This window comes from Homo sapiens, chromosome 3 (assembly GCF_000001405.40).
Source record: "Homo sapiens chromosome 3, GRCh38.p14 Primary Assembly".
Taxonomy (NCBI): domain Eukaryota; kingdom Metazoa; phylum Chordata; class Mammalia; order Primates; family Hominidae; genus Homo; species Homo sapiens.
The window spans coordinates 66,412,116-66,437,109 of NC_000003.12; the positions used below are offsets into that span (position 1 = coordinate 66,412,116).

At 46.9% G+C, this 24,994-nt stretch overlaps 1 protein-coding gene across 6 annotated transcripts in view, besides 3 other annotated features; it reads right to left on the reverse strand.

Annotated features, from left to right (window-relative positions):
- Window positions 1-24,994, reverse strand: part of LRIG1 (leucine rich repeats and immunoglobulin like domains 1) — a 122,325-nt gene that overhangs the window by 33,319 nt on the left and 64,012 nt on the right. For all 6 annotated transcript variants that reach the window (NM_001377345.1, XM_047447939.1, NM_001377344.1 and 3 more), the window contains 3 exons: window positions 5,014-5,151; window positions 2,805-2,948; window positions 756-899 (listed from right to left, as the gene is read on the reverse strand). In NM_001377345.1, the coding sequence (NP_001364274.1) occupies window positions 756-766 (11 nt within the window). In that variant the 5' untranslated portion in view covers window positions 767-899; window positions 2,805-2,948; window positions 5,014-5,151. The remainder of the gene's footprint in view (window positions 1-755; window positions 900-2,804; window positions 2,949-5,013; window positions 5,152-24,994) is intronic.
- Window positions 9,842-10,367: an enhancer, noted in NCBI's record as "NANOG hESC enhancer chr3:66472381-66472906 (GRCh37/hg19 assembly coordinates)". NCBI's record gives its function as "activates a minimal SCP1, AML or CMV promoter by ChIP-STARR-seq in naive H9 embryonic stem cells {active_cell/tissue: H9 hESC(naive)}" and the evidence as "EXISTENCE:reporter gene assay evidence [ECO:0000049][PMID:30033119]".
- Window positions 23,600-24,190: an enhancer, noted in NCBI's record as "H3K27ac-H3K4me1 hESC enhancer chr3:66486139-66486729 (GRCh37/hg19 assembly coordinates)". NCBI's record gives its function as "activates a minimal SCP1, AML or CMV promoter by ChIP-STARR-seq in naive H9 embryonic stem cells {active_cell/tissue: H9 hESC(naive)}" and the evidence as "EXISTENCE:reporter gene assay evidence [ECO:0000049][PMID:30033119]".
- Window positions 24,191-24,780: an enhancer, noted in NCBI's record as "H3K27ac-H3K4me1 hESC enhancer chr3:66486730-66487319 (GRCh37/hg19 assembly coordinates)". NCBI's record gives its function as "activates a minimal SCP1, AML or CMV promoter by ChIP-STARR-seq in naive H9 embryonic stem cells {active_cell/tissue: H9 hESC(naive)}" and the evidence as "EXISTENCE:reporter gene assay evidence [ECO:0000049][PMID:30033119]".

Below are 24,994 nucleotides of genomic sequence, written 5' to 3' on the forward strand. Positions count from 1 at the left end.
AGCCCCTTCTGCTGCTGTACACATCTGGCTGAAGAGACTGCTCCCTTGATAAAACTTAAACATCTGCACCCAGTGTCTTGATTAGCTCACAAGACAGAAATAAACCTCCTAAGATGAGCTCTACATTTTTGGCCCACCTGCACCTCAGGAAAGACTGTCAAACCCAGAAGGGGAGAGAAGGAACTTCCTGTGGTCAGGAGTGGAGAGGATGTGAGGAGGGGTCTGTTCCGCAGCCCCACGTTCACCGAAGAAGCAGGGGCGGGGGCAGTGGATGCAAGCTGTGGAAAGCAGTCCTGGCAGAATGGCCCCCAAACTCCATCTCCATCAACCAACTTATCTGACTCAATCCGCTGAAACTTCCCCCAAGTGGATTTCAGTGGATGTCCCAATCTGCTAGGAAAATACCCTCAGGTTTGGCCCGGTCCCCAAGACAATGAGTTGGGCCCAGGTGAAGCTGCAAAGGGAAGGGGGCTGGGTCCGGCTGAAGTCTTGAAGAATCCTTCAGGAGAGAGGGGCTGGGCACTGGTGCCCCACTCCATGCCCAGTGCACAGCTGAATGCTGGTGTGGGCGCGCACGTGCACACGCGCACGCACACACACCCCACACCACACAGCAATGCTGGTGTGGGCGCACACACCCAACACACAGCAACGTTGGTGTTGGTGCGCACATGCATGCGCACACACACACACGCCACATCACACCACACCGCACAGCAATCCTTAGCAATGCCAGTAACCTGGTCCGCACTTACAGCACATGCATCTTGGACAGTCCCCAGAAGGCCCCATCTGTCAGTTTGCTGATGTTGTTTCGCTGAAGCTTCAGCACCTCCAAGCTGTTGAGCCCCTGGAAGGTGAGGCCCTCTATCAGCCGAATCCTGTTCCGATTGAGGTCCCTAAAGAGATGAAGCCAGCAGGGTCAGAGTGTCTTATGTGCATATCCCACCCACAACCATTCTGAAGCAGTCCTGGCTAAGTTTCCAAGCCAGAGGAGAAATCCCAGTGCAGGGATCCCTGGGAAGCCAGGATGTGTAGGGGAGCCCACCATGTGTCTCGGCTGCCATGCAGGCACTGATGCTGCCACCTGACCACACCTAGTGCAGGCAAGAGGGGTGAGTGAGGCCAGCTCTCCACAGCCAGCTCCGAGGCTGGCCCACAGCTGCACAGAAGAGAACGCGTGTGTGCTCACGTCTCCTCCCCCAGTAGCACCAGTGCCATTTGTGACTCTGCAGTGAGGACGTGGGTATGACTCAAGGGGTGAATGTCTTATGTGAGGTATCTCTGAGCTCAGCAACAGAAATCCACACCACATGCCTCAACCCAGGAAAAACCAAACCACTATGTATCAAATGGCAATAACACTTTCCACTGGGGGCATTTCACAGCATCTCCACTATGGAGAGAAGTTACTGCACATGGGGGCAGGGGGAGATGGGGTAGAGACACCCCACAAGTCATATACACTTGGCTTCTAGCCCCAGTATGACAAAGCCTCAGTTCACCAAAAGATGTCAGGAATCTGGGTGGGCCAGATCCATTAGCACCCCTGCGGGAAGGGGAGGCAGAGCAGCCAGAAAGCCCTTGGTTTTCCCCAAATATTTCTGCAGTGTCTCATGATGCTGCCCCACACAAACCTTCTCAGGAATCACTGAGACCTTCTCCACAGACTGAAAATGGCAAAGTCTAGGACTCCCCACCCAGGGGAGGTGAAACCCAGGTAGGATGAGAGCCAGGCACACCCCGTCGTGCCGCCAACCTGGCCCTCGACAATTATTTTGTTTTGTTGAAACAAAATTTCCAATACTGTCTTATTTTCCTGAAATACATTCTTCTGCTAAAAAGAGGGCACAGGAAAAAAAAAAATCAGGGAAAAAAAGTCCTTCGTCAGGCTCTGGTTAACAGAGCTTTACTTGAATCTAAAACTCTGCCTTCTAGAAGGGTACTCAGCCTTCCATCAGTAAACTAAACAATTAAATTGTTTACAAAAATAATAAATCGGCCGGGTGCGGTGGCTCATGCCTGTAATCCCAGCACTTTGGGAGGCCAAGGCAGGCGGATCACGAGGTCAGGAGATCGAGACCATCCTGGGTAACAAGGTGAAACCCCATCTCTACTAAAAATACAAAAAATTAGCCAGGCATGGTGGTGGGTGCCTGTAGTCCCAGCTGCTCTGGAGGCTGAGGCAGGAGAATGGTGTGAACCCCGGGGGCGGAGCTTGCAGTGAGCTGAGATCACACCACTGCACCCCACCTGGGGGACAGAGCGAGACTGTCGCAAAAAAAAATAATAATAAATAAATAAATAATAATAATAATAAATCAACTACCTTGTAAGATTAAAGATATGAAGACAAAGGCTTGTCTTTTGCTTACTAACTCCAGCTACACTAACTTCCTCTCAAACTGTTCAAGAAGTGTCGGACACCACCATGTCCAAGGTACAGATTTTACGGGTATCTTAAAAAAATACAGAAAAACATCTAAGATAAATAAGAACCCAAACCCATGCAGCCTCAGCATTAGCCAGCATCAGCTAAGCAGCAGGACTCCTGATTCCATTTTGGAAAACATCAGGGAAGAAAAGCGACCTCAGTGGATGTCTTTCTCAGCAACCTGAAGCAGCCACAGCACCAGACCCAGCTCCGAATTTGCTTTTATGAGGTGCTGCCATTAATGGTAATTTATGGAGAGCTTTACCAAATGGAGCAAGGAAAGGGTGGCGTTTGGTACGAGGTCCTTGGGGAAATCTGGCCTCCATAAAGTTTGGCTAGCCTTAATTAAAGTGTAGGTTTCTGTACTCACAGTTGTGTCAGCCTGGGTAGCTTGAATGCTCTTACAGGAAGCTGGGTGATCCTGTTTTTGCTCAGGCGAAGAGTTAGCAGCGACCGTGACAGACCATCAAATGCTCCCAACTCCAGGGTGCCAATCCGATTGCCTGCCAGGTTGCTGGAATGATTCAGAAAAGAAAATGTGGTGGTTGGTCAAAGGCCTTCCTCATTTCATTATAGACACCAGACCTCTCTGGGTCTGAGTTGGGAAGATGAGTTAAGACACCAGAGGGACAGGTTTCCAGTGAGATGTTTATCAGCCACAGGCTTTGGATGGGGAGCTAGAGAGATGCAGGTGTTAGGACTGTGCACCTAAGCCCTGAGGGCAAGGCCGATTTAGTCGAAAGCATACTGTCCTTGAAGCTGCTGGGCCACCCCAAGAGGGTGGGAGTGAAAGTCAAACACCCCCATGCCCACTGACACACCAGCCCTGCGTCAGGAGCCACCTGCAGGACTCTTCTCACCACCCAGTGCCCAAGGTTGACGTGAAAACTCCTAGAAAGCAGAAAATCAACTGAAAGGCAAGGTCAGTGTTAATTTAATAATTTAGAGAAATAGCCTTTAGTTTTGAGGTGGGTCTTGCTATATGAACTACATAACACATATGTATAAACCAATTCATTTCTGTAATTGTAAATGCCTCAAAGAAACACTCTAGCTGAAGAGACCTGTGCAGAATCCCTTCGTAAAACAAGCAATATGTCATGGTACCTACACTTACAGCGTGATTAAGTCGGGGCATCTCCCGTGACAATACAAAAAGGCAGACACCGCTTCTCAAAAGGCACAGAAGTCTGCAGCTCAGATCTGTGCATCTTGCTGTATGCAAATTATATCAAGTAATAAAAAAGAAAAGAAAGTACAAGGAAGAACAATATGGCATTCCTGTGAGAAGTGGTTTCCAACACCTCTCCTCTGCCTTCCCCAAACAAATGCTGCTTTTTCTGGCCTAAGTGAAAAGGAGAAAGACCAGAGAGGATTTTCTGCCACAGAGGGTGGAAGGGAGCAAGGCACTTTTTGTCTCTCCAGCAGATAGTGGCCTAGGACAAGGCACATAAGGATTCTTTGCAAATGGGGCTGGACTGTTTGTTCTCAACACCTCAGATTAAAGAACAGCCTGTGTGATGAAGATATATCACCCAATAGCTGCCAAAATAGAAAGTCCCTCCCACTTTTGTGCAGGGAGAGGTCAGAGCAACTTAGTGTAGCAGTTATGGTTTCTCTGTCCCAAGCAAAGTGGTGTCACGTGGACACCTTTTGAGGGCCCACACTGGAGGCTTCACAAAAGCCAAGGCCTCCTGTTCCCAACTCTGGCGCCCTAATGCAGGCTAAGAAAGAAATCACTCTTCTTCTTGCAGTATTTACTTGGAAAATCCATGTGCCAAACCTCACCCTCCCTGAAAAGATGGGTCACAATGACCCCTAAACCAGCCTTGCGAATGCGTTCCAAAGTTAACTCTGGAACAGTAATGACACACGGAATGAAAACTCACCTGGAATTGGAAAACGTCTCTTTAGCCTGGGGTTGCAGTTTCTTTCCCAGAGTAACACTTTTCCTACCAACAAGTAGTTGATTAAGTAGGTTTTAACTTTTTTTCCTTCCTGTCTACCATCCATTGTGTGTGAGATGGGACATTAATATGGGTAAGAGAAACAGACAAATCTAAAAGGTGCTGAAAACCCACATAATAGAGTAACTGCCCTCCCCCAAACAAACCCAATGACTTGTTTTACAGTGCATGACACTAGAAAGATAAGCACTGATAAGCTAAGCCCTGTTAGACAGGCTTCCAATGTGAATCCTCTAACCATCCTCCCTGAATCTCCTCTGGAAGCATTTCTGAGAGGCAGCCAAGGAAATGGGAAAAAAAGCAGGCTTTGTGGTCAAGATCGATCTGTTCTTGAGTCCTAGACTCTCGTCTTGGAGTGCTGAGTCCTTCCTGCCTCTGTCCCTTGTCTGTCTGTAATGTCAGGATAATGCTGCAGGATCTGGACGTGCTCTATGCATGGGGCTCGCCCCTGCCCTGCTCAGGGAAGGTCTGAACCATCCCCACTGACTCGGCCCAGCCGTGGTTGAGAAGGGAAGGAAGCATCCCTCCTGCATCCAGAACTGGGTGCCGGTGAAGCTGTTAGCTGGCTGGACACAGCGGGCCAGCCACAGGTGGCAGAACAGAGGCACTTACAGCTCCTTTATAGGCGGTCCGTGTGGAAAGCAGGTGTTCCGCACTTCCGTGATGTTGTTCAAACTCAGATCTAACACTTCTAAGGAAAGGTAGGCCTTCAGCTGGCTCCCCTCCACGCTGCGAATCTTGTTGTGCTGCCTGAAACACAACAAGGGAGGTGACTTGAGCATCTCTTTTTGCAAAGTAACTACAAGAAACTAGTATTCCTGCACCCCACCCCCCACCAATATAACTACAATGCAGTGACGCTCTTAAAAATGAGATCTCCTGTTTCTTTTCCCATCAAGTTATTACCTGCTGGCCAGATGCTAGGAGAATATTGGATTTTCAATCTGGGACAAGTTTATCAAAGTTCTATCCCTAGGCTTCCCTCTCCAAGGGCAACAACACAGCAGTGACACTGAAGACCATGTGAGACCAGCATGACCTGACCAGAATCCACGGATGCACTCACCATAAAGGATGTGCCCTGTCCTGTGCAGCCAGACAGCTCCAGTCCAACTCTCACCCATCATCCTCAGACCTAGTCCAGCCTCATAACTTACAAGAGCCATAGGCACCACAGCCCAGAGTTCACTTTAATCCAGTTTAACACATCATTACACACCTCACATTTTACCAACACCTACCATATACCAGACACAGAGGATTTAAACAAAAAGAAAAAGAAAAAAAAAAAAAGATTACGACAAAATCCTGACAATGTAAAATGGGAAAGAGGAGCTCACTGCTGAGTCTAACTGAAATTGAGTTCCCTGAACCTCCCGACTCTACCATTAATATTAAGCATTGTGCCTCGGTTTTCTCATTTGGAAGATGGGGCCACAACCCATCACTTCAGGGATAGGGACGATCCAGCCTAAAACCACATAAAGCATGTGGCAAATCTGAAGGTAAATGTTTAGTGGTCACCACCTCCCAAGACAGGAATGTTCCACTGTAACTTGTGTTTTTTTTTTGTTTTGTTTTTGTTTTTGTTTTTGAGACAGAGTCTCGCTCTGTCGCCAGGCTGGAGTGCAGTGGCGCCATCTTGGCTCACTGCAACCTCCGCCTCCTGGGTTCAAGCGATTCTTCTGCCTCAGCCTCCCAGATCGCTGGGATTACAGGCACGTGCCACCACACCCAGCTAATTTTTTAATTTTTTTTAGTAGAGACAAGGTTTCACCGTGTTGGCCAGGATGGTCTCGATCTCCTGACCTCATGATCCACCCGCCTTGGCCTCCCAAAATGTTGGGATTACAGGCGTGAGCCACCACAGCTGGCCTGTGCGCACCTTTAATCTACTTTCTGTCAAACCCACTATATAAACAAGCAACAGTTATAAGTCAAGAGAAAGACGAATGCTAGCCAAGGCTAGAGGTAGCTAACCGCCCTGTTGTGGGTTTGGCGCCGCCTGGCAGAGTCAAACCACTGCAGCCCTCACTCCAATATTAGACACTTAGGAATCTGCTGGGTGGTGGCGCTGGGCCTCTAGGTTGCAGGCACTGGCACTCGAGCCAGTTCTGAATAAACAGTGTCAGCATCTCTGGCCAATCAAAGCATTCTTGAACACAACACAAGTAAGCCAGGCGTCGCTTACCAAGTGGCATCTCCTTTAAACAAACACTTGACCGAATCAGTTCCAACAGGCATAAACAAGGACCTCTTTCCCAGAAGCTCTGGGGCTTCTCGTGGACTCCTTTGTTTTTTTCATGCGTCTCCCAGGCCCTGAACTCGAAAGTCCATTTCCAAGGGTGCAACTCTGCACACAGAACCTCCCCGGCATGAAAGGACCCTTTCCCTTCCTCTCCTCCCCAGCCCCCAAAGCCACTTCCTTTGAGTTCTTTATTAAGTTCTTTAATAAAGATAGTCTCCTCAGTTTTCTGGCTCCAAAGGAAAAAAGAAAAGAAAACCTTTATTATGTAAAGTATGGGAAGAAAAGAAACAAGAAATAAAGGCGACAGAGCTGAGTCTTATCCGGGAACTGTGAATGTGGTATCAGGGCGCCAGGAAAAGGGTCTGTGCTGGACAGAAGGGCCGGGCGCCACCGGCCCAGAAAGGCACAAAGAGGGGGTGAGGCCTTACATTGCGAAGCCGTGGGACAGCTGCAGGCCCAACATCTCTCCCACGCCAGTTCTGTCCTCTCCCCACCTCCTCCTCTGTCTCCTCAGTCTTTGTCTGTGGTCCGGTACCTTTTGCTCCTTGTCAGTCTTTTCATTCGCTGAATCAAACACAATCCGGGCCCCACTCTGCATAAAGGACCCTGTGCAGAAGACAAGTCTCTTTCACCCGCTGGGAAAGTTCCCCATTTGGCAGAAGAGGCAGCCGTGGAGATGGGAGACAAGGGTGTGTGGGAGTGAGGGCCACAGTGGCAGGGTCTGTGAGAGGAGCAAGGGAGTGCACAAGGTGCCAGGGCGAATGTCTGAGGGTAGGATGCTGAGGCCAGGAGGAGACAGGTAGGCAGAAGCCAGGAGCTTGGATCAGATTGCAGAGCTAGTAGGGTGGGCAGGACCACAACAGCAAATGCCTCGCAGCCCAAGCTAACAAGTTGGGAATGGATGCCACAGTGGGCCAGGAGAGAGATGGCGGCAATACAGAGACAGGCACAAGAGACCCTCTGATTAGGTCCTACCCACCCTACCAGCTCCACCCTCTGATCAAAGCTGCTGGCCTCTCCCCACCTGTCTCCTCCCAACTTCAGCATCCTACCTTGAAACACCCTGCCCTGGTGGGGGCTGGAGATGACAACTAGGGGCATCAATAATGATTCAAAATGTTCTAGCTTGGAAATGGAAGATAACCATGCCCATGGGCTACTGACTAGACCTTCCCTTCCATCCTTGCCCACTTACAGTCTATTCCCAACCCAGCAGCCAGAGAGACCCGCTAAAAATAAGTCACTTCAGGCATCCCACGGAATAAGAGAAAATATATGCAAATCACATTTCTGATAAGGGGCTAATATCCAGATATAAAGAACCTCTACAACAACAACAAAAAACAACCAACCTGATTTTTAAAATGAGCCAAGAATTGAACATTGTTCCAAAGAAAACACACAAATGGCCAAGAAGCACATGAGAAGATGATCAACATCACCATTCATTAGGGAAATGTAAACCACAACCACAATGAGAAGTCACCTCACACCCACTAGGATGGCCACTATTAAAACAAAACAAAACAAAAAAACAAACAGAAAATAACAAGTGTGGGTGAGGATGTGGAGAGAGTGAAACCCTGTATGCCAGTGGTAGAAATGTAAAACGGTGGTGCACCTGCAGAAGAAGACATTATGGAGATTCCTCAAAAAATTAAACAGAGGCACACCATATGATCCCACAATTCCACTTCTGCATATCTAAATAACTGAAAGCAGACCTCAAAGAGACATGTGTATCCTCACATTCATAGAAGCATCACTCACCACAGCCAAAGGTGGAACAGCCCAAATGTCCATCAATGTTGTATATACATGCAATGAGATATTACTCAGCCTTAAAAAGAAAAGAAATTCTAACACGTGCTACTGAATGGATGAGCATTGCGGACATGATGCCAAGTGAAAGATGCCTGTCACAAAAAGACAAATGCTGTATGGTCCACTTATGTGAGGTAGCTAGAGTAGTCAGATCCACTGAAACAGAAAGTAGAATGGTGGTGTCCAGGGACCGGGGAGACCGCAGAAGGAAGATCTGTTGTTTAACGGTGTATTAGTCCATTTTCATGCTGCTGATAAAGACATACCTGAGACTGGGCAATTTATGAAAGAAAGAGGTTTAATTGGACTCACAGTTCCACGTGGCTGGGGAGGCCTCACAATCATGGCAGAAGGCAAAGAAGAGCAAGTATGTCTTACATGGATGGCAGCAGGCAAAAAAAAGGGCTTGTGCAGGGAAACTCCTGTTTTTAAAACCATCAGGTCTTATGAGACTCATTCACTATCATGAGAACAGCATAGGAAAAACCTGCCCCCATAACTCAATCACCTCCCACTGGGACCCTCCTATGACACATAGGAATTGTGGGAGTCAATTCAAGATGAGATTTGGGTGGGGACACAGCCAAACCATATCATTCTGCCCCTGGCCCCTCCCAAATCTCACATCCTCACATTTCAAAACCAATCATGCCTTCCCAACAGTCCCCCAAAGTCTTAACTCATTTCAGCATTAACTCAAAAGTCCACAGTCCAAAGTCTCTTCTGAGACAATGCAAGTCCCTCTGCCTATGAACCTGTAAAATCAAAAGCAAGCTAGTTACTTCATAGATACAATAGGGGTATCAGTATTGGGTAAATATAGCCATTCCAACTGGGAGAAATTGACCAAAACAAAGGGGCTACAGGCTCCATGCAAGTCCAAAATCCAGCGGGGCAGTCATGTCTCACATCCAGATCACGCTGATGCAAGACGTGGGTTCCCATGGTCTTGGGAAAGCTCCACCCCTATGGCTTTGCAGGGTATAGCCTCCCTCCCAGCTGCTTTCACAGGCTGGCGTTGAGTGTCTGCGGCTTTTCCAGGTGCCCGGTGCAAGCTGTCAGTGGATCTACCATTCTGGGGTCTAGAGGACAGTGGCCCTCTTCTCACAGCTTCCCTAGGCAGTGCCGCAGTAGGGACTCTGTGTGGGGGATCCCACACTGCCCTAGCAGACATTCTTCATGAGGGCCACACCATATTTCCCTTCCACACTGCCCTAGCAGAGGTTCTTCATGAGGGCCCCGCCCCTGCAGCAAACTTCTACCTGGGCATCCAGGCATTTCCATACATGCTCTGAAATCTAGGCAGAGGTTCCCAAACCTCAACTGTTGACTTCTGCATACCTGCAGGCTCAGCACCACATGGAAGCTGCCAAGACTTGGGGCTTCCACCCTTTGAAGCCATGGTCCGTGCTCTATGTTGCCCCTTTCAGCTACAGCTGGAGCAGCTGGAACACAGGACACCATGTCTCTAGGCTGCACACAGCACAGGGACCCTGAGCCTGCCCCACGAAACCACTTTTTCCTCCTAGGCCTCCAGGCCTGTGATGGGAGGGGCTGCCGCAAACATCTCTGACATGCCCTGGAGACATATTCCCCATTGTCTTGGTGATTAACATTCAGCTCCTCATTACTTATGCAAATTCCTGCAGCCAGCTTGAATTTCTCCTCAGAAAATGGGATTTTCTTTTCTATTGCATTGTCAGGCTGCAAATTTTCCAAACTTTTATGTTCTGTTTCCCTTTTGAAACTGAATGCCTTTAACAGCACCCAAGTCACATCTTTAATGCTTTACTGCTTAGAAATTTATTCCATCAGATACCCTAAATCATCTCTCTCAAGTTCAAAGTTCCACAAATCTCTAGGGCAGGGGCAAAATGCTGCCAGTCTCTTTGCTAAAGCATAACAAGAGTCACCTTTGCTCTAGTTCCCAACAATTCCTCATTTCCATCTGAGACCACCTCAGCCTGGACATTATTGTTCATGTCACTATCAGCATTCTTGTCAAAGCCATTCAACAAGTCTCTAGGAAGTTCCAAACTTTCCCACATCTTCCTGCCTTCTGAGCCCTCCAAAGTGCTCCAACCTCTGCCTGTTATCCAGTTCCAAAGTCACTTCCACATTTTCAGGTATGTTTTCAGCAATGTCCCACTCTACTGGTACCAATTTACTGTCTTAGTTATTTTTCACGCTGCTGATAAAGACACAAAGACTGGGCAATTTACAAAAGAAAGAGATTTAATTGGACACACAGTTCCACCTGGCTGGAGAGGCCTCACAATCATGGCAGAAGGCGAGGAGGAACAAATCACATCTTACATGGATGGCAGCAGGCAAAAAGAGAGTTTGTGCAGGGAAACTCCAGTTTTTAAAACCATCAGATCTTGTGAGACTCATTCACTATTATGAGAACAGCACAGGAAGGACCCACCCTCATAATTCAATCACCTGCCACTGGGTCCCTCCCATGACACATGGGAATTGTAGGAGTTACAATTCAAGATGAGATCTGGGTAGACATCATCCCAGCCAAACCATATCAAATAGGTATGAAGTTTTAGTTTTGCAAGATGGAAAAAAGTTCTGGAGACTGGTTGCACAACATAAATGCATTTAACACCATTGAACTCCACATTTTAAAAAATACTTCAGATGGTAAATTTTATGTTATGTGTACTTTACCACAATTTAAAATTAAAACAAGGCCAGGCACGGTGGCTCACGCCTGTAATCCCAGCACTTTAGGAGGCTGAGGTGGGCGGATCACCTTAGGTCAGGAGTTTTGAGACCAGCCTGACCAACATGGAGCAACCCTGTCTCTACTAAAAATAAAAAATTAGCCGGGCATGGTGGCGCATGCCTGTAATCCCAGCTACTCGGGAGGCTGAGGCAGGAGAATTGCTTGAACCTGGGAGGCAGAGGTTGTAGTGAGCCAAGATCACGCCACCGCACTCCAGCCTGGGCAACAAGAGCAAAACTCCATCTCAAAAGAAACAAATTAAAACAAAATGTGACTCAGTTCACAGCACTCCTCTGTCTAAATCTCAAATGATGATTCTTGTGTCTCCCAAGTAAGTCCTGTCCATGGTCTCCAAGGCACATGTGGAGTTCTTCCTGCTGTGGAACATGGCACAGCACTGTGGAACAATATGCCTTGAGTGTCTTCCTGCCCAGGTTCAAATCCCAGCTATCCCACTCACAGGTGTGAACCTCAGAAGAGCCCCTCTGTAAAGTGATGTGTGAAGTTCATATGCCCCATGGGCTGATATGACCTGACACGTAACAACTGCTCAATAAAATGAGTTCTTGTTTTTAGTAGTCATGCTTGTGTCATCAGAGCCAGGCTAAGGATCTAGTCTGTAGGAGGTGCTCTGGAAAAAAGAATAAAATTAATGACTGGTTCTTGTCTACTCTTCTGACATATTTCAGTGCAAACAAGCAGCTCTGGCTCCCCTCTCAGGAACGAAGGGCTGACTCAGAGCTCTCACTCTTAACTTCAAGCATAAAAGAAGCCTGCTCCAGCTGGAGAGTGTCAAACCCAGCCACTGGGAAGACCCCACGTTTCAAAGCAAATCCCAGACTGCAACTTCTGCAGGATTCAGGGTGGCTAGACATCTGACAGATTCCCCAGCATCTGGATGACACCCCCCACCCCCACTCCCACAGCAAGTGGAACTGAGGCCACGTCCCTGACCCAAGCCCACCAAACCCCACCAACCCCACCATTCCAGAGGTAGCCTGCTGGTCTAAGATACCCTCTCTAGGTCTCCCCCCCATGAAGGTTAGAGTAAACAGCTGGCATTCAAACCCCTGCAGGGAAGCCTTCCCACCTCCTGCCTGAGAGTTGATGCCATGGAAACGTGTCTGCTGCCCTCGCTCAACCCGGCATTCCACCTTCAGGAAACTATCCATGTTTTCAATTCCACATGCAAACCCAAGTGGTCATCATTTTCACTCCTTTAACATAACTAACTGCACAGTTCCCAAGAAGATCCATACCTCTTTTTATTGCCTCTCAACAGCTGACCAATTAATGAACACCTATTATATACACAGTAGATCCTGGGCAAAGCATCAATGCCATCACACAGCAATCTAACAAGGTAGGTACTATTATCTTTATAGGCAGCCCCTGACTTACGATGGTTCAGCTTAACGATTTCTGGACTTCACAATGGTGCAAAAGCTATACACATTCAATAGAAATTGTACTTCAAGTACCCATAAAACCATTCTGTTTTCCACTCAGTGTTCAATAAATTATAGGAGATATTCAAAACTTTATTATAAAATGGGCTTTGTGTTAGATGATTCTGCCCAACTGTGGACTAATATGAGTGTTCTGAGCACATTTAAGGTAGACTAGGCTAGGTTGTGGTATTCAGGAGGTTAGAGGTATTAAATGCATTTTTTGCTTAATGATATTTTCAACTTAGGATGGGTTTATCTGGACATAACTCCATTGTCAGTTGAGAAGCATCTATACTTAGGCAATTGAAGAAATTGAGGCTCAGAAGTCTGCTGGAGCTTGCCCAAGGTCACACAGCTGGGAAGCAAGAGGAGCCGGGATGCAAGCCCAGGGAAGCATGACCCTATCTAGCCCGTCCGAGAGGCTCTCCTGGCAGAACTTTAAGGGCACTGGCCCAGATTCCACCCATAAACTTCCAAAGCTTGGCTAAATCTGAACATTAGCTGGCCATTTCTCAGTCAACTCAGCCTGTTCTACGTAGCTTGGCCTCGGCCAGGTGGCCCAGCTCTCATACAAGCTTCCCAGAGTCCTGTGTGAGAAGCAAATGTGCACAGGACTTCATGTGACAGAATCTCAGCAAATAAGGCAGATAAAGCTCAAGTTTTTACTTTGAATGTTCTGGATGGAAAGAAAAGGGCAGTTTCTTTGAGATCTTGAAAGATCTGCCATCGAGGGAGGAAGGAGTATCTTTATTGTTAGGGAAGGTAAGCTGCAAAGGGATCCACTTAAGTTTACAAAAAAGGGTGAGGATGGTGCAAGGCAAGAGGACAGTGTTGTGCTAGGAACAGTTCTTATTGGCCTCATCAAAGGAACAGCGCAGCCTTTCTCTGCAACCAGACAAAACCAGTGATTCTGCACTTATGGGGACCGGGGGAAGTGTGTGGTGGCCAGGTCACGTGGCATTCGCCTCCATCCACAGTGTCAGTTTACCCCTTGGGCTGCCCTCTGGAGCGAGGAGAACTTAATACAGCAGAAGTCTATTAAACCAACACCTGTTAAAGGCTTCAAAAATAAAATCAGTCTTCAAAGGCGGAAAGCAGGCAAGATAAGCTCTCCCCAGTTGGCTACATTTTCAGAGCTGATGTTAAATTAGACAGTGAAACAGATGGAGGCATTTGAAACCAACATTTAAAACTTTTTCTCATAAGTGATTGTTCCACTACAGTTCTGTGAAAGCCTGGTTTACAAGGTATTCCCGTTAGTGGTGGAAAAGATCTCATGTCACAGATAACAGCCAGGAAGAAAGGGCAAGGAGATCAAAGGCAGTTGGGACAAGGTGGGTCAAGTGGGTAATTTCTGACCCCTGAAATTATGCACCTATTTTCTACACCAGGGGCCAGCAAACTTATTCTACATTGGGCCAGATGGTAAATTTTTAGGCTTTGTGGGTCATACTGTCTCTGTCATGACCACTCAGTTCTGCTGTTATAATGTAAAAGCAGCCAGACAATATGTAAATGAATGAGTGTGGCTATGTTCCAATAAAACTTTATTTACAAAAACAAGCAGTGGGCCAGGATTGGGACCACTGTCTGTGGTGTGCTGACCCTGTCAACCCTATGGCAACCAGTTTGTGTTTCTTGGGGTGCAGAGACCCAGACTCTAATTCTTGCTGTCATGCAATTTTGGAACCATGTATAAATCACTCTTTCTCTACCTCGTTTAACCACCTGCAAAATAAGGAAATACCTCTTAACTGCAGAGAGAAAACTTTCCCATTGTCCCTCCAGTGCCCATGTCAGACATCACTAATCACAGTCTTTTCTGCCAATGTCTTTTCTACCTCTTCAGAAAGTGAAATGGAACATAAGTCTCTCTACCACTGTTATGTTCCTCAAGAGATCAACCAGGTTCCTTACTGGAGCCAGTGAAGATAGATGGGCAAACAGGGTTACTTTACAGAAGACAGAAATCCACACTGTATATCCTATATCCTTCCTCGTTTCAGTTCCGCCAATTAGTCTGAAACATACTGAAGCTGGCCAGCTCTCCATCCCTAAGATCTAAGAAGCTGTGCCCTTCCGCCCTTCCAGACAATTACAGTGATTCACAAAGTCCACAGTCAACTATCTGAGTGTGGACTCTCACCGAAATGGCAAATCTACCACAGTTTTACTTCAAGATCAAATCTTAACACGTCTTACTTAATGAATAAGCGAAATCCACATAATAGCTCTTTGCTTCGCCTGAACCTCCGGTTAGAAAATAAGTTTCACATAATCTAGCCCTAGACTGGGGGGAAAAAAAATCTAACACCCCCGGCCCCCATTACCCCAACAAAGTGATCCTGGCAGACAGGTTTCATCAAACTCCACACCCTGCAGCACTCTGCCCATCATGGTGCTGCACTGGAATTCTTACCAAGGCTCTGCATCACACACTCACTGTCACCACCCACATACAGCACGCACTCAAAATAATCAAAATGAATGAAGGCGTGCACACATTCACATATGCCTTCTGAGGCTACAGTGTATCTTAACAACATATCACACCTGGAATCCACACAATGTGAGACTATCTGAGACCCTCATATTACTGACGGAAGATGAAACTTAGTACAGGGCACACCAGCCCTGATGCCTACCTAAGGAGGTGTACTTTATGACTGCAAATGCCAAAAAACATTAACCATTTCAAAAACACACATGAAGGTGATGATTTCTCCTTGTCAGAAGACACAGGCTGGGCACAGTGACTCTGGCCTGTAATCCCAACACTTTGGGAGCCAACAGTAGAAGGACTGCTTGCGGCCAGGAGTTCGAGACCAGCCTGGGCAACACAGTGAGACCCTCATCTCTTAAAAAAATTTTTTTTAAAATTGCAGCACTATCAGACAGGCCATATGGCCAAATGCTGGCAGTTGTTTTGTTTGTAAACATTTTTATTGAAATATAAAGGATTTTTACAAAATGTAGAGAAAAATTTCCGCACCCAGAAGCCTCCCTCCTCCTGTCTCCTGGTTGTTATTCCTCCCAAAGGAAACCTCTAATTTCTACCACCCACAATTAATTCTGCCTATTTCTGTGCTGTACAGACACAAAACTGTTCTGTACATACCCTTTTTTATTTGGCTACTTCCACTCAACATTGTTTATGAGATCCATCTGGGTTGCTGCATTAGCAGTAGTTAATTCTTTTCTATCACTGTACGATATTTCTATTGACAGAACATACAGCAATTTATTTTTTCTTTCTATTGTTGACGGACATTGAGTTATTTCCAATTCAGGCTATTGCAAAAATCACAGCTATGAACACGGACTTGTCTTCTGCACTTGCTTTCTGGTGCATGTCTGCATGCATTTTTGGCAGGCGTGCAATGTCCAGGCATGGAATTGCTACTCAGGTCATTGAGCTTGCATATGTCTGGCCTTAGCAGACACTGGTAGTTTTCTTTTAAATCAAGTCCCCCAGGGTTGAAATGAATCTGAAAACCATTAGCTCCAAGTGCCCTGTTTCATGCTGCTTCATTTGACCACATTCTCAGATGCCACTGCCCTCATATGTCCCCTTTCTGACCCCTCCCCAAAAAACACATTAGGAATATAGCCTGGGGCCACCGAACATGGCCAAGCTCAATCTAATCTTCTTCAGGTGTCCAGTAGAATTTTTTAAAATAAGTGAGGGCCTAATGATCACAAAAAAAAAAGAATAATTCTAAGTCTCAAAATTGGCAAGAAATAATGTTGATGCTAAAGTCCACAGCTTACGATAATGCACTTGTGCCAGGACCAATGCCCATACAGAACTTGAAAATTAAGATGAGACATTTTTCAAGAACAAGTGAATGCGGAAGAGCTTTCCTAATCCAACTTGAATAAAAGTCTCCCTTCTCAGAATGACAGTTGAAACCATTTCCCTCTAGCCTGCTTTACATCCATCTTCTTAAAAATTAAAATCAAAATCATTTGTTCTATTGCAGAAATTGATCATTTACTCAAAGAACTGCTGTCTCGTAAGAAACAGCCCAGCCTGGGTTATTTGCTGGACAGGAAATGAGAATCAGAATAAGCAGGTCTCTCTCTCTTGCTTGTTCCCTCTCTCTTCCCCTGCTGCTGGTGAATCACCAGTTCCCTGGGGAATTTTGGCAGATTCTCAGCCTGGCTGCAGATGACGTTCCAGATCTGTTTATTCAGGTGGAGACTGGATAAAAAACAAGAGCAGCCCAGTGGCGGGATAAACAGCCTCCGCCAGGCAGGGTCAACCTCTCCAAAGGCAGGACTGGGCTGTGTCAACCAACCTCCCAACCCGTTCACTTCCTTTAGGGTCACCCTCCCCTTTGGGTCTTCAACAAACAGCTTCCATTAACTCCTTGCAAAGACGACCCAATGTCCCATCCCCATGAGACTACCTAACCCCAGGGACCTTGCTACAGCAGATCCCATTTGGTTCTCCCACCCATCAACTTACACCCATTGAACTGAAAGCCCCGGATCCCTGAAACGAAAAAATCTAGGTACGATCAACAGCTGGCCACCACTGTTCTGTGAAGTCTAGAGTGACCCAACTCATGAATGACCCAGGACCCAATCCAAACTATCAGAATGTTCTGCATTTAAGATGCACAAATAAACAAGAGCAGCAGCAAAACTCCTAAGGAAATACACATTGTTGAGTAAAAGATGCCCATCTGAAAAGACTACCAATTGTATGATTCCAAATGTATGACATTCTGAGAAAGGCAAAACTATGGAGACAGTAACAATATTTAACTGCCAGAGGCTGGGTAGAGAGAGATGAGCAGGTTCAGCACAGGAGATTTTTAGGTCAGTGAAGCTATTCTGTATGACACTGTAATGGTGGGCACATGTGATTATACATTTGTCAGAACCAAGACTGAACTCTAATGTAAACTATAAACTTTAGTAATAATGGATCGATATTGACTCATCAGTTGTAACAAATGTACCACACTAATGCAAGATGTTAACAATAGGGGAAACAGGGTGGGTGTGTGTGTGTGTGTGTGTGTGAGGGGGAGAGAGAAGAGATGGCGGGGGCATATGGGAACTCTCCGTACTTTCCACTCCATTTCTGTAAACTTACAACTGCTATAAAAGTCCATTAATTAAAAACAAAACAAAACAAAACCTCCTAAAGTATTAAGTAGTCCTGCAGTCTCGACTGGGTAGAATATAAACCGCACACCGGCTAGGAATTTTTAGTCTATCGTATTGACTGCTATAGCCTTAGCCCCCAGAATAACGCTTAGAACTTAAAAGGTACTCAATCAATATTTGTTGAATAAACAAACAAATTACAACTTTAGTTCAATGTCTTACATTCACCACAACAAACCTGAACCAAGGAACATTACTCAGGAAAAACAAAACAAAACAACAACAACAACAACAAAAAAAAAACACTGAGGCAGGACCAACCATCCAATTAAAAACTTTTAAAAAGAAAAAAATTTAAGACACAACGTGGAGTTAACTTTTTTAAAAAAGGTAGGGAAGCTGACAGACCTATTTAAAAGCAAATGTCGAATACGATGGATTTTCGATTTTCAAATAGCACGGGGTGGGGGTTACTTACGCATTTCCCACATTCAATTGAACCCCAAACACTGGCCCTCACTGGCTTGCAATGTTGAGACAATTATGCTTATCCAAGGCTGGCCAACAATCTCTCCCTCACTCACTTCTAGCCACAGCTCGGCCCTGCCTGAGGTCCCCATCCACACGCCTCCCCTGGGAGTTCCACGTGGACACTGCTGACCCGAGGAAGCTGTACAAGCCACATATGGATCACATTCCCAGGGAGAAAGGCTATGCCATCCTAACATGGGCAGTGACTTCTAAGGGGCTTGAGGAGTTAGTTCCATGTCCACACGGAGGTCAGCTGTCTTGGCATCTGGGCATGGCAAAGCAGTACCAGGTTGGGCTAAGAGATGAAAAACCAGGCTCAAGTTGGGCCAGAGATGGACAATGAGCCACTTCCACCAGAATTCCCAGCCACATATGCCCACCTCTGGGTCAGAAGAGCCAAACGTATTTATCGCTTTTGCTCAGGGCCAACATAGACACTTGCTTCTCTCTCAGGGCTGTGTTTTCCCCCAAATGTATCAATACATCCCTATTTTCTTCCCCCTTTGTTTTCCTTTCCCTGGTGACCTGCTACCCCACACCCCAGCACACTGATGGTGTTCCCTCCACCACACCGAGACCCCGCCACAAGCTCTCAGCCCTCGTAGAGCACAGGCCCCACCCTGAAAGTTGGCAGAGCACCGGGCTATCAAGCTGTGTCATGTGGAGCCAGCAAGCCCGGCACAACCGTGGATCCCGGGTACGGCACAGCTGAACTGAACCCCTCTGATTTCCCTTTGAGAAGAAGGCTAAACATACTTCATTACAATTGTCAGGGCACATGTGTCCCTGCCTGTTCAGCTCTGCCCCTTGAGGGAAGGAGGTAAGAAAACCAGGACACAGAATGAGAGACATGGATTCAACCAGACTCCAGGGGCTGAGCAACTGTTTCTGGACAAGAAAAGCAGAAAAGGTGAGATGGCAACGATCAAGAATGAGGTGATGAGAGTGTCCCTTAAGGCCAGGGACTAACCCCAGAAATTTTAACCAAGAAGCGTCCGCACTACCCACGTTGGAGGGTATCAGGAGGCTGCCATGCATGGTTTTCTTCCAAAGAAGGCTCCGCCAACTAGGGTGAGGTGGGAAGTCCCGAGCCCAGGGGTGTGAAATGATGGAGATACTGCACTTCACACAGCAAGGACCTCCTCTGCCCAAGTTCCACAGGGACTGGTCAGCAACTGGGGGAGGGGGTCACCCAGGAGTCCAAGACCAATGAGCTCTGACATGAGCTATTGTGGTTTCTGTTCCTCTGACCTCACCAACTAGGACCTGAAAAAATGGAACCACTGTTGAGAAACATGCTGACCTCACGCCAAATTCCCAAAGGGAGCAGAATGAACCTCCTTCTCACAGCCACCCTTCCATCTCAGCCTTGGGCAAAGCGGTCTGCAGCACTCACACACCTGGAGACTGTCCATGCCACCATGCTAAACCAAAAGCAGGGCACACAGCCCACCAATTCACATGACTGTCCCTCTCTAGAAGATACACGTAGAAAAAAAGATAGGGAATACAGGATGTTGTTCTCACAGTACGATGATAATGGAATCCCCACCCCATTTTGCATACTGCCTGTCAATTATGTGACATTAAATTTATATTTACAAAGCAGTTAATGAAAACGTAGACAATGAACTTTGGGACCTAATCCTTAAGTGCAGAGCAGACTAAGAAGTGTGGTGGAGAGCTGTGTAGGGTTGGTACAGCCCAGGGTGGCCTGAGCATTCCACCACCAGTCCACCAGGCACAAAGGAGGGTTTTCCACACAGAACCTCCTCCTGAACCCCCTGCCCCCGACACTCTCATGGCACAAAAGCCTGCTCCAGGTGGTGCAAACTTCAAAGGGCCTTTGTAGCCGGAGTCTGGAATGGAGCCCTGGTGCTTCTGCGGCCTCCAGGAAGTGGTTCCAATGCTGCACAGGGCCATGGATGTCCAGGGAGCTTGCCCTTGATGCTTAGCTATGGAGGAGTCACACTGCATTTTCTTTCCAGTAGAAGGGGTGGCAGGAGTAGCCATAATGGCAGGAACAGTGGGAACAAATCTAACATTTTGTTAGTGCTTACCAGTAGCTAGGCGCTGGCTTCGCTCTTAACATCTTCCCTCATTTAATCTTCATGACAACCCCAGAGGCGGCCACTATTACCGTCCCCATTTTACAGATGGGGATGCTAAGGCACGGAAAGGTCAACTCACTTGCTGAAGGTTACACAGCAGTAAGCAGTGCAGTTGGGACTGGAGCCCGGAACAGGAATCCATATCCCACACTCCTAGTCAGGATGTGGAACTGCCTCACCAGGGAAGCGGGCAGAAGAAACCTGAGGAAGACAGCTTCTCTTGATAGCACCCCATACCTCCCACCTCTTCTCGGCATCCACCAGGGACAGGGATAACCCTACACTGGGGCCACACCATGTGACTGGAGCAGAGGCAGGACCTGACTCTGCAGATACAGAGGGAACAAGAAGGGGAATGTCCTGTCGCAAGCCACTGTTCATCCCCAGTCCTGCCAGGGGCCCACACCCACACGTAGGCTTCCAGGCCCTCAGCCCACAGCATGTCAACACAGCATTGCCAGAGGGCCCAGCCAGACCACCTCTATTTATATTTAGGATGACTGGAGTGGTCAGCGGCCATGTCCCCATCCTAAACAGGTGGGTGAGAGTGGCTCTTATTTCCTCAGGCAGTAAGTATAAAGGCACAGAACTGAGCACTCTCCAGGGAACAAAAGAAACTTGTTCGCTCATTGCTTACCACCACGCCAGAGAAGCCACCACCTACTCCAGAATCAGAGAGGTTAAGACCCTGGTATGAAGTCACCCAGCTAACCAAGATGCAAGCATAGGTATCCTCTGACTCCAGGCTGTGCCGCTCTCTGGAGTGACAGTGGCACAGTAAGCCAGACCAGACAGCCTGCGGCTATGAAGACAGAGAGGGGACTGTGGGTGCTGCAGCGCTAAAGCTCCCTCTGAGGTTACACATGGGCCCCTCACCTCTACTGGCCACTGGCACATTCCCTGAGATTCACATGCCAGCTTCCTGACAGCTCTGCAGTTCCAGGCAAAGGAGGAAGCTGTTTCAGCACTTGGCTGCAGCCTCTAAGACAAGATCCTCTCCTCCTCTGGGGAGGGATACCACTGATGTGCCTTTAAAAATAAAACCAGGCCTGCTTCCTGCCCCAACTGAAAGACTTTGATCTCCCAATCATACGATTTACAATATCTCTTACCACGCAATTTCTCAAGCCTTCAGCATATGACCTGACAGTGCTCCGGGAGGGTTAAGGATGGGTATGGGTGGGATTGAGGAGTTGGCCCTTTAACGCAGCCCTTCCTCACCCACCCCAAAAATGATTTGTTACAACACCAAAGTGGCACTGTCTGCAGCACCCCTTCTCTGTACCCCAGAACCATCTCAACCCGTGCCTTGTCCATGCTGGGGTCCTATGAGAAGCAATTCTTGCTGTTTCTTTTGTGGAACCACAAGCTTCAAGTTTCTTCCCTATTTCAGGCTTTTAAAAACATGTCATCATGAACTTACATGCAAAACATAAAACTACAGATCTTTTAAGAGAAAACACAAGAGAAAATCTTTGGGATCTACAGGTAAAATTCTTAGACCTGACGCTAAAAGCACAATCCATAAAAGGAAAACTTAACACTTATTAGGCTTTATCACAATTAAAAATGTTTGTTCAGTGAAAGACTCTGCTAAGATGAAAAGACAAGCTACAGATTGAGAGAAAGTATTTACAAATCACATATCTAACAAAGAACTGGTATCCAGAATATATATCCAGACTATACAAACATCTCACAAAACTCAAGAGCAAAACAACAACAAAAAACAACCAAAAAATCCAATTAGAAAATGGGCAAAAGGCATGAATGGACATTTTACCAAAAAGAATCTACAGGTGGCAAACAAGCAAATGAAAAGATGCTTAACATCATTGGTCATCATGCAAATAAAAATGAAAACCATAATGAGCTATCACTGCACACCTATCAGAATGGCTGAAATTAAAAAAATACAACACCACGGTCAGGCGCGGTAGCTCACACCTGTAATCCCAGTACTTTGGGAGGCTGAGGCGGGTGGATCATTTGAGGTCAGGAGTTCAAGACCAGCCTGACCAACATGGCGAAACCCTGTCTCTACTAAAAATACAAAAATTAGCCAGGCCTGGTGGCGTAAGCCTGCAATCCCAGCTTCTGGGGAGGCTGAGGCATAAGAATCACTTGAACCCAGGAGGCAGAGGTTGCAGTGAGCAGAAATCATGCCACTGCACTCCAGCCTGAGCAACAGAGCGAGACTCTGTCTCAAAAAAATTAAAAAAAAAAAAAAAAAAACACACCACCAAATGCTGGCCATAATGTGGAGAAACGGAATTGCCTATACACTGCCGGTAGAAATGTCAAATGGTATGGCCATTCTGGAAGAGTCTGACGGTTTCTTAAAAAAACTAAACATGCAACTCCCATATGACCTGTCAATTGCACTCCTGGGCATTTATCCCAGAGAAGTGAAAATTTATGTTCACACACACAAAAGAAACCCAAACACAAATGTTCATAGCAGTATTTTTTAAAAGCAGCCCCAAACTGGAAACATTCTAGATGTCCTTCATCGGGTGAATGGTTAAAGTACGGCACATCCATATTATGGAATACAACTCTGTGATTAAAAAGGAATGGAACGACACATACAATAACCTAGATGAACCTCCAGGGAATTACGCTGAGTGAAAAAAGCCAATCCCAAAAGGTTATCCATACTTTATTATTCCATTATATAAAACTCTAAATGAAAAAACTACAAATTTGGAGAACACATTAGAAGTCAACCAGGGGGGGCTAGGCATGGTGGGTCAAGCCTGTAATCCCAGCACTTTGGGAGGCCGAGGCAGGCAGATCACTTGAGGTCAGGAGTTTGAGACCAGCCTTCCCAACAGGGTGAAACCCCATCTCTACTAAAAACAAAAAACAAAAAACAAAAATACAAGAATTAGCCAGGTGTGGTGGTGCATACCTGTAATCCCAGGTATTTGGGAGGCTGAGGCAGAAGAATCACGTAAACCTGGAAGACTGAGGTTGCAGTGAGCCAAGGTCACACCACTGCACTCTAGCCTGGATGGCAGAGCAAGACTCTGTCTCAAAAAGAAAACAAAAGACAACCAAGGGTGTGAGGGCAAGAAGTAAATGACTGTGGCCATAAAGGGGAGAGATCCTTGCAATGATACAAATATTCTGCATTCTGACTGCATCGATGTCAATATCCTGGTTATGAAAAGCTGTACAAGATGTCACCATTGGGAGAAACTGGGTTTAAGGGTACGTGAGGGATCTCCCCATATTACTTTTTTTTTTTTTACAACTGCATGTGAATCAACAATTATCCCTAAGTATCATTAAAACAACAATACAAAAGTGTCATGGCATTCACGGTGGAATCAGATGGAAAGTCTGGGGGAGTTCCCAGTGGAATCAGCCTTCCTGCTACTTTACTAGTCTCCAGCCATCCTTCAAACCAGCAGAAACTTACACAGTATGACTGAGGTCTCAGAGCCAAGCACCAACTACCACTGGGCTCTGTGTGATTTCTGAAATGTAGGGATATGCATGAACTGTTTAATTACTTCCCATCATTTAGGAAAGGGCTGAGGGCTGGGACTCCTAGAGACAAGGGTGTTGCTGATAAAGCTGAGGACAGCTAGCGTGGCCCTTGCCTGGCATCAGGGGTTGTCATCCAGCCCTGTGTCTTCTTCCAGCACTACTTGGCCAAGGAAGACGTGCCAGACGTGCATGCCCAGAAAGTGGCAGACGCAGGTTGCCAGACACCACACTCCCAAAGCATCATCCTTCGTATACTGGCCTTGGGAGGTGTTCCATGGAAAGGGTGCTGGGTGCAGGCAAGCTCAGGAAGGGGCATTTCCTCCCCCGCCTCTTGCAGACTCCCTCAGCAGGTCAGCAAAGAAAAGCGGCTTAGGAGAGATGATAACAACACCTTTCACTCGGCTTGCTTTGGCATTTGCTAAACTTACATGACCACAAAATCCTTTTCATGAAACGACCATTAACATCCCACAGAACAAGTATTCCAGGTGGCTCACTACTCACTATCTGTGGGAAACACCACGTCTCTCCCCCTCATTTGAGGTCAAAAGACATACAACGCAGAGCCCGGGGGTCTGGTGCCAGCCTCCAAATGAAGCCAAACTGTGACAAGCCTGCACAGGAAGAACTGAAGAGGAGGGGGGAATATATGCCTGTGGTAGCGAAGTCTAAACTTCATGGATGTGCATTTAGAGACAGGGAAGCAGCACTCTCTACTGCCAGGGGAACGTGAGGAGTGGATTTTATCATTCTCTAGGTCAGCACCTCTCATGCTCCCAAAATCTCCCTTCCTACCTCTGAAAGAAAATGAAAACATAATAGAGCTATGATGAAATGATCTTAGGAAGATCTCTGCTTGTCCTTGGAGACTCAAAGGGAACATCAAGCACTAAAGGCTCTGAAATGTTCTGCAGGAAAGAAAGGTGCTCACCTTCAACTCTGGGTTTTCTGAACTTTCTGAACACAGAGCACTCTTTTCCCCCTCAATGCCATCTACTGGCACCTCTAGAATCCAGGCACTCCTTAATGTCATCTTTTACGCAGCCTGCTGCACCTCCCTCATTTTCCTTCC